Below are 13,881 nucleotides of genomic sequence, written 5' to 3' on the forward strand. Positions count from 1 at the left end.
GCTTCATAGTAAGACACACTACAGAAAGTTGTTATAGTTGAAGGAAAATGATTCCAAATAGAAAACAGAACACTTACACACTGTTGGTGGGAGTGTAAATTAGTTCAGCCATTGTGGAAAGCAGTGTGGCGATTCCTCAAAGAGCTAAAAGCAGAACTACCATTCAAACCAGCAATTCCATTACTGGGTATACATCCAGAGGAATAGAAATAATTTTGGGAATAGAAATCATTGTACCATAAAGACACATACACGCAAATATTCATGGCACTATTCACAATAGCAAAGACATAGAATCAACCTAAATGCCCATCAATAACAGATTGCATAAAGAAAATGTGGTACATATACACCATGGAATACTATACAGCCATTAAAAAGAATGAGATCATGTTTTTTGTGGGAACATGGATGGAGCAGGAGGCTATTATCCTTAACAAACTAATGGACAAACAGAAAAACCAAATGCCAAATGTTCTCACTTATAAGTGGGAGCTAAATGATAAGAACTTATGAACACAAAGAAGGAAAAAACAGACACTGCAGTCTACTTGAGAGGGGAGGGTGGGTGGAGGGAGAGGAGAAGAAAAGATAACTATTGGGTACTGATCTTAATACCTGGGTGAGGAAATATTAATAATATGTACCACAAACCCCCACCCCCATGACACATTTACCTATGTAACAAACCTTCACAAAAATACAAACCAAAAATTACAGTTAAAAAAAAGAAAATGCATGCAACTGACAAAGACATGAAGAGAGAAAAAGGTAAATGTAAAAGACTACAAAACAAAAATCTTAAAATATGTTTTGCTGAGTTTAAAATATGCATACAAGTACAAAACATGACAATAATTACCAAAGAGCAAAAAAAGCTACATAGAGATAGACTATTTCAAGTCATTCTTGCAGATCTTATGTTGTTCAGGTTGTGGTTAAAAATACTAACTAAGCTGTAAAAAGTCAAATAATAAATGTTGTACTCATTACTGAAATCATTAAAAGAATATTACAAAATGATAAAACTAAAAAGTTAATAGATAAGAAAAATGGAACAATAAAAAATGTGTGATCTAAATGATTTTATGAATGTATTAATAAGAATGAAGAACATATGAGGCAAATAGAAAATAACTAGCAAGATAGTAGACATAAAACCCATTATAATTATTAGAGTAAATACTTTGTAATTGCTGATAAATATAAAAATGTGAGGTCCATTCCAAGATGGCCAAATAGGAACAGCTTCGGTCTGCAGCTCCCAGCGTGATCAACACAGAAGACAGGTGATTTCTGCATTTCCAACTGAGGTACCTGGTTCGTCTCATTGGGACAGGTTGGACAGTGGGTGCAGCCCATGGAGGGTGAGCTGAAGCAGGGCGGGGCATCACCTCACCCAGGAAGCACAAGGGCTCGGGAGATTTTCCTTTCCTAGCCAAGGGAAGCAGTGACAGACTGTACCTGGAAAAATGGGACACTCTTGCCCAAATACTGCACTTTTCCCATGGTCTTAGCAACCAGCAGACCAGGAGCTTCTCTCTTGTGCCTGTCTCGGTGGGTCCCATGCCTATGGAGCCTTGCTCACTGCTAGAGCAGCAGTCTGAGATTGACCTGCGAGGCTGTAGCCAGGTGTGGGGAGGGGCATACAACATTGCTGAGGCTTGAGTAGGTAAACAAAGTGACTAGGAAGCTCAAACTGGCTGGAGCCCACCACAGCTCAGCAAGGTCTGCTGCCTCTATAGACTCCACTTCTGTAGGCAGGGCATAGCTGAAAAACAGGCAAGAGAAACTTCTGCAGACTTAAACGTCCCTGTCTGACAGCTCTGAAGAGAGCAGTGGTTCTCCCAGCACGGTGTTTGAGCTCTGAGAACGGACAGACTACCTCCTCAAGTGGGTCCCTGACCCCCATGTAGCCTAAGTGGGAGACACCTCCCAGTAGGGGCCAACAGACACCTCATACAGGTGGGTGTCCCTCTGGGATGAAGCTTCCAGAGGAAGAATCAGGCAGCAATATTTGCTGTTCTGCAGCCTCTGCTGGTGATACCTAGGGAAACAGGGTCTGGAGTGGACCTCCAGCAAACTCCAACAGACCTGCAGCTGAGGTACCTGACTGTTAGAAGGAAAACTAACAACCAGAAAGGAATAGCATCAATATCAATAAAAAAGACATCCACACCAAAACCCCATCTGTAGGTCACAATCATCAAAGACCAAAGGTAGATAAAACCACAAAGATGGGGAGAAACCAGAGCAGAAAAGCTGAAAATTCTAAAAATCAGAGCACCTCTTCTCCTCCAAAGGATCACAGCTCCTCGCCAGCAATGGAACAAAGCTGGACAGAGAATGACTTGGAAGAGTTGACAGAAGTAGGCTTCAGAAGGTCGATAATAACAAAATTCGCCTAGCTAAAGGAGCATGTTCTAACCCATCTCAAGAAAGCTAAAAACCTTGAAAAAAGATTAGATGAATGGCTAACTAGAAAAAGCAGTGTAGAGAAGACCTTAAATAACCTGATGGAGCTGAAAACCATGGCACAAGAACTTCGTGATGCATCCACAAGCTTCAATAGCTGATTCAATCAAGTGGAAGAAAGGGTGTCAGTGATTGATGATCAAATTAATGAAATAAAGTGAGAAGACAAGTTTAGAGAAAAAAGAATAAAAAGAAATGAACAAAGCCTACAAGAAGTATGGGACTATGTGAAAAGACCAAATCTACATTTGTTTGGTGTACCTGAAAGTGACAGAGAGAATGGAACAAAGTTGGAAAACACTCTTCAGGATATTATCTAGGAGAACTTCCCTAACCTAGCAAGGCAGGCCAACTTCAAATTTCCTGAATTTGAATACAGAGAATACCACAAAGATATTACTAGAAAAAAGCAACCCCAAGACACATAATTATCAGATTCACCAAGGTTGAAATGAAGGAAAAAATGTTAAGGGCAGCCAGAGAGAAAGGTCGGGTTACCCTCAAAGGGAAGCCCATCAGACTAACAGCGGATCTCTCGGCAGAAACCCTACAAGCCAGAAGAGAGTGGGGGCCAATATTCAACATTCTTAAAGAAAAGAATTTTCAACCCAGAATTTCATATCCAGCCAAACTAAGCTTCATAAGTGAAGGAGAAATAAAATCCTTTACAGACAAGCAAATGCTGAGAGATTTTGTCACCACCAGGCCTGCCCTAAAAGAGCTCCTGAAGGAAGCACTAAACATGGAAAGGAACAACCGGTACCAGCCACTGCAAAAACATACCAAATTGTAAAGACCATCGAGGCTAGGAAGAAACTGCATCAATTAACAGGCAAAATAACCAACTAACATAATAATGACAGGATCAAATTTACATATAACAATATTAACCTTAAATGTAAATGGGCTAAATGCCCCCAATTAAAAGACACAGACTGGCAAATTGAACAAAGAGTCAAGACCCATCAGTGTGCTCTATTCAGGAGACCCATCTCATGTGCAGAGACACATATAGGCTCAAAATAAAGGGATGGAGGAAGATCTACCAAGCAAATGGAAAACAAAAAAAAGCAGGGGTTGCAATCCTAGTCTCTGATAAAAAAAGACTTTAAACCAACAAAGAGACAAACAACTCAAAAGAGACAAAGGCCATTACATAATGGTAAAGGGATCAATTCAACAGGAAGAGCTAACTATCCTAAACATATATGCACCCAATACATGAGCACCCAGATTCATAAAGCAAGTCCTTAGAGACCTACAAGGAGACTTAGACTCCCACACATTAATAATGGGAGAATTTAACACCCCACTGTCAACATTAGACAGATCAATGAGACAGAAGGTTAACAAGGATATCCAGGACTTCAACACAGCTCTTCACCAAGTGGACCTAATAGACATGTACAGAACTCTCCACCCCAAATCAACAGAGTATACATTCTTCTCAGCACCACATCGCACTTATTCCAAAATTGACCACACAGTTGGAAGTAAAGCACTCCTCAGCAAATGTAAAAGAAAAGAAATCACAAAAAAACTGCCTCTCAGACCACAGTGCATTCAAATTAGAACTCAGGATTAGGAAAATCACTCAAAACCGCACAACTACATGGAAACTGAACAACCTGTTTCTGAATCACTACTGGGTAAATAACGAATTGAAGGCAGAAATAAAGATTTTCTTTGAAACCAATGAGAACTAAGACACAATGACCAGAATCTCTGGGACACATTTAAAGCAGTGTGTACAGGGAAATTTATAGCACTAAATGCCCACAAGAGAAGCAGGAAAGATCTAAAATTGACACCCTAACATCACAATTAAAAGAACAAAAGAAGCAAGAGCAAACAAATTCAAAAGCTAGCAGAAGGCAAGAAATAACTAAGATCAGAGCAGAACTGAAGGAGATAGAGACACAAAAAACCCTTCAAAAAATCAATGAATCCAGGAGCTGGTTTTTTGAAAAGATCAACAAAATTGATAGACCACTAGCAAGACTAATAAAGAATAAAACAGAGAAGAATCAAACAGACGCAATGAAAAATGATAAATGGGATATCACCATCAATCCCACAGAAATACAAATTACCATCAGAGAATACTACAAACAACTCTATGCAAATAAACTAGAAAATCTAGGAGAAATGGATAAATTCCTGGACACATACACCCTCCCAAGACTAAACCAGGAAGAAGTTGAATCTCTGAATAGACCAATAACAGGCTCTGAAATTGAGGCAATAATTAATAGTCTACCACCAAAAAAAAGTCCAGAACCAGATGGATTTACAGTCAAATTCTACCAGAGGTACAAAGAGGAGCTGGTACCATTCCTTCTGAAACTATTCCAATCAATAGACAAAGAGAGAATCCTCCCTAACTCATTTTATGAGGCCAGCATCATCCTGATACCAAAGCCTGGCAGAGACACCACAAAAAAAGAGAATTTTAGACCAATATCCCTGATGAACATCGATGTGAAAATCCTCAGTAAAATACCGGCAAACCCAATCCAGCAGCACAAATAAAAAGTTTATCTACCATGATCAGGTCAGCTTCATCCCTAGGTTGCAAGGCTGGTTCAACATACATAAATCAATCAACATAATCCATCACATAAACAGAACCAACGACAAAAACCACATGATTATCTCAATAGATGCAGAAAAGGCCTTCAACAAAATTCAACAGCCCTTCATGCTAAAAACTCTCAATAAACTAGCTATTGATGGGACGTATCTCAAAATAATTAGAGCTAGTTATGACAAACCCACAGCCAATATCATACTGAATGGGCAAAAACTGGAAGCATTCCCTTTGAAAACTGGCACAAGAAAAGGATGCCCTCTCTCACCACTCCTATTCAACATAGTACTGGAAGTTCTGGCCAGGGCAATCAGTCAAGAGAAAGAAATAAAGGGTATTCAATTAGGAAAAGAGGAGGTCAAATTGTCTCTGTTTGCAGATGACATGATTGTACATTTAGAAAGCCCCATCGTCTCAGCCCAAAATCTCCTTATGCTGATAAGCAACTTCAGCAGTCTCAGCATACAAAATCAGTGTGCAAAAATCACAAGCATTCCTATACGCCAATAACAGACAAACAGAGCCAAATCATGAGTTAACTCCCATTCACAATTGCTTCAAAGAGAATAAAATACTTAGGAATCCAACTTACAAGGGTTGCGAAGGGCCTCTTCAAGGAGAACTACAAACCACTGCTCAATGAAATAAAAGAGGATGCAAACAAATGGAAGAACATTCCATGCTCATGGATAGGAAGAATCAATATCATGAAAATGGCCATACTGCCCAAGGTAATTTATAGATCCAATGCCATCTCCATCAAGCTACCAATGACTTTCTTCACAGAATTGGAAAAAACTAAAGTTCATATGGAACCAAAAAAGAGTCTGCATTGCCAAGTCAATCCTAAGCAAAAAGAACAAAGCTGGAGGCATCATGCTACCTGACTTCAAACTATACTACAAGGCTACAGTAACCAAAACAGCATGGTACTGGTACCAAAATAGAGATATAGACCAATGGAACAGAACAGAGGTCTCAGAAATAACACCACACATCTACAACAATCTGATCTTTGACAAACCTGACAAAAACAAGAAATGGAGAAAGGATTCCCTATTTAATAAATGGTGCTGGGAAAACTAGCTAGCCATATGGAGAAAGCTGAAACTGGATCCCTTCCTTACACCTTATACAAAAATCAGTTCAAGATAGATTAGAGACTTAAATGTTAGACCTAAAACCACAAAAACCCCAGAAGAAAACCTAGGTAATACCATTCAGGACATAGGCATGGGCAAGGACTTCATGACTAAAACACCAAAAGCAATGGCAACAAAAGCCAAAATAGACAAATGGGATCTAATTAAACTAAAGAGCTTCTGCACAGCAAAAGAAACTACCGTCAGAGTGAACAGGCAACCTACAGAATGGGAGAAAATTTTTGCAATCTACCCATCTGACACAGGGCTAATATCCAGAATCTACAAAGAACTTAAACTTACAAGAAAAAAACAAACAACCTCATCAAAAAATGGTCAAAGGATATGAAAAGACACTTCTCAAAAGAAGACATTTATGCAGCCAACAGACACATGAAAAAATGCTCATCATCACTGGTTATCAGAGAAATGCAAATCAAAACCACAATGGGATACCATCTCACACCAGTGAGAATGGCGATCATTAAAAAGTCAGAAAACAACAGATGCTGGAGATGATGTGGAGAAATAGGAACGCTTTCACACTTTTGGTGGAAGTATAAATTAGTTCAACCATTGTGGAAGACAGTGTGACAATTCCTCAAGGATCTAGAACTAGAAATACCAGTTGACCCAGCATTCCCATTACTGGGTATATACCCAAAGGATTATAAATCATGTTACTATAAAGACACATGCACTCATATGTTTATTGCAGCACTATTCACAATAGCAAAGTCTTGGTACCAACCCAAATGTCCATCAATGATAGACTGGATTGAGAAAATGTGGCACATATACACCATGGAATACTATGCAGCCATGAAAAAGGATGAGTTAGTGTCCTTTGCAGGGACATGGCTGAAGCTGGAAACCATCATTCTACACAAACTATCACAAGGTCAGAAAACCAAACACTGCATGTTCTCATTCACAGGTGGGAATTGAACAATGAGAACACTTGGATACAGGGCGGGGAACATTGCACACCAGGGCCTGTTGTGGGGTGGGGGGCTGGGGTAGGGATAACATTAGGAGTAATACCTAATGTAAATGATGAGTTGATGGGTGCAGCAAACCTACATGGCACATGTATACCCATGTAACAAAACCTGCATGTTGTGCACAGGTACCCTAGAACTTAAAGTATAATAAAATATATATATAAATGTTACTAGACTAAACATTATAATGAAAAGATAAGCATTATCAGAACAAAGTTTAAACTTTTATTATCACAAGAGAAAATTTTAAATGTAAGAGCACAGAGCAATTGAAAGTGAGAGGCTGGAATTAAAAGGTATTCAGGGTAAAACTAAAATAAAATTTTAAAAAGCAAACAAAGTGGTGTGGCTATATTAATATCAAACCAATGAAATTTTATGGCAAGAAATATTGATGAAAATGAAAAGTAAAATTTCATAATGATGAAGGGGTAAATTAAACTTTGACAAACAAATCTTATACACGTATATTCCTAATGATAACACCAACAGATACTAGGCAAAGATCAACAGGGAAAAGAAGAAACACATGCAAATCCACAACCCTAGCTGGGGATTTTAATGAAATGAAAAATCTTACATTTTTCAGTAAACCAATTCTTTCAAAACTGGACTTTTGAGAGAGAATTAAATTCCATAGAAAAGTATGCCAAGAGAAAATGCAGAGTAAATTATTATCAAAATTACTCTTTCAAGTGACTCTGTTGGAGAGTACAGTAGACTGACTGCATGTAGGAGGGACAAAAAATTAGTTTGTGCAGGCTTTCTTTTTCTATCCTTTTAAAAACCTTGAACCCACTTGTGTCTTTGTACCTAAGGTATGTTTTTGTTAACCAGCATGTAAATAAGCTATTTTTCCCTTCTAACCTGAAAATCTTTCACTGGGTATTAAGTCTGTTGGTATTGTATTTACTGTGGTTTACTTTATGTCTTTTCTTCTACCATCATTTAAATTTATCCCACATCTTTTATTTTCCATTGTTTTCCTTTCTTGACTAATTTAGTTTTAATTAAATATATTCTTGCTTTGTTTCTATTGACTTATTTAACTAAATATTTTGTCATTATTTTAGTGCTAAGGCTAATTTTGATTACTTCATTCAGGAGGTATCTGTCAGGTCTTGCCACTGTAAAGTTACTCTTTTCCTTTATAGGTAAGTAATAATTTGAGAATATGTATATATACTTTTCTCATTAAACTTTCACTATCTTGACATCTTTTGACATTTTATAACCCAATTTTTTTCTATACTTTTTACTTGCCATTTGACTATATGAAAGAGCTTTCTTTTTTCTTTATTTATTCTATATAAGTATATACAGTATAGGTTTTAATTTTATTCTATGAGTTATAATGTGTTGCTCTCTTTATTATATGACTCTAAATTTCTTCCAGATTTGTTTAGCTGGAGTCCCTTTAGTTGACATCATGTCCTTTTTAAAATTACTCAATATACCCAAGACGTTTAATGCTGAATTCTATGCCAAGTGCTCAACAGTGTTTCCACATGCAATGCAGTTTCATGAGTGGACCTAGATTTTGAACAAAGCAACAAAAATGAATTTTGTGAGAAAGTGAAGCAAATTGATGTCATTTGTGGAAACATTTGCAAGCATGCAAATAAGAAGATGGTCATTACAATTTCTTGGTAAGTTGTAATCTTATGAGAAAAACAAAGTGCATGGTTCGGTTTAAGACATTGATTTTCGTATATTGAGTGTTACTTTTTTTGAGCTGCTATTCCTCCAGTCATGATAATAAGCAGAAAATGTTCCAGTCTACCATATGAGGAAGAGCTGAAATCACCTTCACTCGCACGTTTGGTAGTTGGCATCTGGCTGTCGGTTTGAGGCCTCAGTTATTTTTTATATGCCCCTCTCTGTGTTGTCTCTCCTTAGAGCCAGTTTGGGCTTTTTCACAGCATGGTGGTTGAATTCCAAAGGTAAGTGTCCCAAAACATAGGGATCTAGACAGCAGCTATAACATCTTTATCACCTAATTTTGAAATCACAAGGCATCTTTTCTTCCATACTCTACTAGGTGGAGCGGTCACTTATTTTCACCCAAATTCAAAGAAAGGAAACTTAGAATCCACTTCTTGGAAGGAGTTTCAAAATTGTATTGTAAGAGCATGTTGGAAGAGAGATACAGTTGCTTTACATTTCCTTAAGATAACACAGTCTACCAAAGAGGTGAAAGTGGTGAACAGAACATGTCACTTTATTTCTCATTCGATGAGCTTATACAGATAATGAAACATGAGAAGCTTCTGCAGCACACTGCCATATGCATTTAGCTTTTCCAGTTTTTCTGGACAAAGTGACGCAGTAATCATTGTCTTGATATTTGAGGGAAAAAATCTGTCTTTTTGACTTTGCATACATCTTTGTAAATAAACTTATCTTCTTGTAATTTACTGTGAAGATGAGTCCACCAGGAATCTTGTAATAAATTTTGTCTTTTTATGTTTATTTTTCTCATTGCCATTAAAATTAACTGTCAAATATTTTCAGAAATATTGACTAGGTAAATTCATGGTAACTATAGATATACATAGAAACAAATACCACTGCCACATTTCAAGGTAAAGTAGCTTAATCACCCTCATAGTATAATTCAATTGGTATAATGGCATATCCACATATTTATCAGAAAAATATAGAGTGTGATATCTAAGTGCTCTAGCAACTGACACACGTGAGTAAAAAAGAAAAGCACATAGTTTCATATCCCTGGTTTGGAGGAAATGAAACATAAGCTTATTTTTAAAACCAACGTTTCATATCTCTGGTTTGGAGGAAATGAAACATAAGATTATTTTTAAAACCACTCAAATTTTAAGACACTGATATTCAATATAATGTACTGTGGGAAACTTGGGCAAAAGTTAAACTAATAATCATGTGACAGGTAATACAATTCATTATATATTCCCATTTACTTAACACATTAATTGACATGTTCAAAAATTAAACTTGCTTATATGGTCTTGAAAAACATTGTGTGTGAAATCAACTGCTTGTGATTAAAGCCATATTTTATTCTCTACTGCAATTTCTAAAATCTGTCCAACATAAATAATAAATATCACATACATGAAATGTATGATTCCCTTCAAAGGAAATTACGCTTTTCTGTGTTGACAATTGACAGTTCGAAAAGTTCACTTTACAAAATAATTTTCTACATTATTTTTAAGGAGTAAGCTTTCTTGAAACATTTTAAATATATTTTTTAACAATGACAATATTTGATTTATCTAAGACTTTTAAAGAACATGGCATTTAACTAAAACAAGGTACATTTCTTTAAATTACTTAGCATAAGATCTACTATTTAATAGCACAACAGGGAGACTACAGTCGATAATAACTAAATTGTATATTTTTAAATAACTTTAAAAATGTAATAGGATTGCTTGTAACTCAAAGGATAAGTACTTGAGGGGATGGGTACACCATTCTCCATGATGCATTTGTTTCACATTGAATGCCTGTATCAAAACATCTCATATACCCCATAAATTTATACACCTACTATGTACCCGCAAATTTTCTTAAATAATTTTTTAATTTTTATAAATTATTTAGATCAAACTCTTGAAGAACTTATATTCTATAATCACTGAAAACCACTCATTTATTTTATTCTAACATGCTTTTAGAGAAAATCAATTTTGCAATTGTTTTCTTTCTAATACAGAAAGGTTTGAATACTGAAAAAGAGAAAATTAAAGTCAGAATGGATAGAATGAAAAACGTTCTGATTGTTGGACAAGCTAAAGTCATACAAATAATTGAATATTGGGTATCAATTCTTAAACTAGAAGAGTCAAATTAGTGTTTTGTTCAAAGATCCTTTTATGTTTTCATGTTAATTATTTCAACAAGTTGTATTACTTGTCTGAAGCAGAAAATATCTTTCTAAATACAGCTTTGAAGGCTTGTTTAACTTGCTGATTCCTCAGAGTATAAATAAATGGGTTTAACAACGGGGCAACTGAAGTATTGAGCACAGTTACTCCTTTGCTTAAAGCAACTCTTTCATTCGCTGATGGCTTTATGTAGATAAACATACAACTACCATAAGTGATGGAGACAACAATCATGTGAGAAGAGCAGGTGGAAAAGGCTTTCTTCTTTTGCTGAGCTGAAGGGAATTTCAGAATTGTCTTGATGATGTAAGAGTAAGAAAGGATTACTAAAAACAATGTGACAATAAGTGTCATCACAGCTAATAAAAAGGCAATCAGTTCCAGTAAATGTGTGTCTGAGCAAGAAAGTTGTAGGATAAGAGAAATGTCACAAATGAAATGATCAATGATATTTGAAGCACAGAAATCCAAGTTAAGACCTAAAATCAGTGGAGTGAAAATGATCAGGAATCCAGTTACCCAAGAACTGAATACAAGCTGGTAGCAAACTTTGTTACTCATGATGGACATATAACGCAAAGGTTTGCAGATGGCAACATAGCGATCATAGGACAGAGCAGCTAGAAGGAAAAATTCTGTAACCCCCAAGAATATGTAAAAAAACAACTGAGATATGCAACCATTACAGGAAATGGTCTTTTCCCTGGTAACAATGGTGATTAGGAATCTGGGAATGCAAGCAGTTGTGAATGAAATTTCCAGAAAAGAGAAATTACGGAGGAAGAAATACATTGGAGTCTTGAGCTGGGAATCCAGCAGAATGAGGGCAATGATAGTGAAGTTCCCTATCATGCTCAACACACAATTTAGAAGTAGAAATAAGAAAATTACAATCTGTAACTGAGAATTATCCGTCAGTCCCAGAAGAATAAATTCTATCTGCCTTGTATGATTCTTCATTTCTCTGTTGTGATTTCAATCAAATTCTAGGAATAAAAAGGTGCAAGGGTTGAGCTAGGTCCAGGAAAAGATACAGGAAAGTTTCCACACTTACAAACATATACATTTAAGAGGTAGTACTCCATGGATGTTGAAGATATGATATAGAACTATGCAACAGAAATTGTAAACTAGGGGTTTAAAAGTACAACAAACATCATCTCACTTTGGAAAATTGATTTGCAAAGCCCTTAATAGTTGATTTTCAAGCTAGTTTTTTTCATGCTTCCACTTCAAGATTCCACTTAATTGTAACTAATTCCAGGTTTGTCAAGTTGTAAATAAATTAGGTAAAGATCTTGGTTCAGGATTCAAAAATAGTTCATTCATTTTAAAATTATTAATTTCATCTAAAGAAAATGATGCCAGTGTAATGAATTAAGACCTAAGTTAAGGGAAGGCACAGTGACTCATGCCTGTAATCCCAGCACTTGGGAGGCCAAACTGGGGATCGCCTGGGGCCAGGAGTTGAAGATCAGCGTGAGCAACATAGGGAGATGCCAGCTTGGGTGACAGAGAGAGACCCTGTCTTTTTTGTTAAGAATTAAAAGACCTACAGTCAAATTTTGAAACTTTACATTATATTATATTAAAGTGACATTTGTTTAAAGCCCTGCTATACAGCCTTTTTCAACTTCTCTATGAACTACATATGAAGATACGGAAAAATGCCCCTAAAAAGTATGAGTTGATACCACAACAAAATAAATACTAGTTGAATCTAGGAAACTCAAAACTTAATATTATGCATATATTGCCACATTTACAAAAAAAAAGTCTATTTAGGACTTAAAAATTTTGTCTTGTGTAATCAAGACCATAGGAGTAAGAAAGAAAACAGATAAAACATTGCATCTCTTCCAAGTCGCTACAGTTACAGGTACCTACAGTCTAAACCTACTTTCTAGATGTAATACTGTGAGTGAAAAATCAGTGCTTTCTTGCCACACTATCTGAGTCCCCAACAATTATTCATGCAGGTAACCAACGACTATTAATTTAGGGAAATAATGGGGTAGGAAGGGTGTAATCATTTGAATGGGACAAAAGGATTCTGATGGTATTTTAAGTTTGTTATTGTAGGTTTCCCAGAGTATCAGGTTGCCAATGAAAAAAGTGAAGTGAGTAATAGTACAGAAGTAAAGCAAAGGTGACAGACTGCTAGGAATTAGAAAGTGGACTTAAAATCCAGCTAAGGATCTGAGAAATAACTTATCAATGGCTACTGAGAAAAAAGGCAATCCACTCTCAGGGTTAAAGTTTGGGAAGCTTCTTTATTGTTTAATAATTAATTTTTAAATGTTAAGCTGAGTATCACAAACAAACGAAAAAAATAAGACATAAGAAAGTGTAAAATGGCTAAGTTAACAGTTTAAAGTCAAAGATCTTGAAATTTTTAGAAAAGTTTAATAAAATTTGGAATTTTCTCCATTATTATTAGTTATATGGTCTTGGGAAAACTAACTTTCTTACTTTAGTTTTTTCATCTACAAAAAAAAGGTAAAATAATTCTGATCTCAGTTAGAAGGATTAATTGAGATGTATACACAACACATGTCTAATAACTTTAATAACCAGTGAAGAGATTAATAAAAATTAAGGCCGGGCACAGTGGCTCACGACTGTAATCCCAGCACTTTGAGAGGCCGAGGCAGGCAGATCACGAGGTCAGGAGTTCGAGACCAGCCCGGCCGATATGGCTAAACCCCGTCTCTACTAAAAATACAAAAATTAGCCGGGCATGGTGGTGGGTGCCTGTAATCCCAGCTACTCAGGAGGCTGAGGCAGGAGAATCA

The 13,881-nt window shown here is 36.3% G+C and overlaps 1 protein-coding gene across 1 annotated transcript; it reads right to left on the reverse strand.

Moving 5' to 3' along the window:
- Positions 1-11,107: 11,107 nt before the first annotated feature.
- On the reverse strand, positions 11,108-12,046 carry OR6C70 (olfactory receptor family 6 subfamily C member 70). Its single transcript, NM_001005499.1, has one exon. It carries the CDS (start codon positions 12,044-12,046, stop codon positions 11,108-11,110), a length of 939 nt encoding a protein of 312 aa, NP_001005499.1.
- Positions 12,047-13,881: the final 1,835 nt, after the last annotated feature.

The sequence above is a fragment of the Homo sapiens genome, chromosome 12, assembly GCF_000001405.40.
Source record: "Homo sapiens chromosome 12, GRCh38.p14 Primary Assembly".
Taxonomy (NCBI): domain Eukaryota; kingdom Metazoa; phylum Chordata; class Mammalia; order Primates; family Hominidae; genus Homo; species Homo sapiens.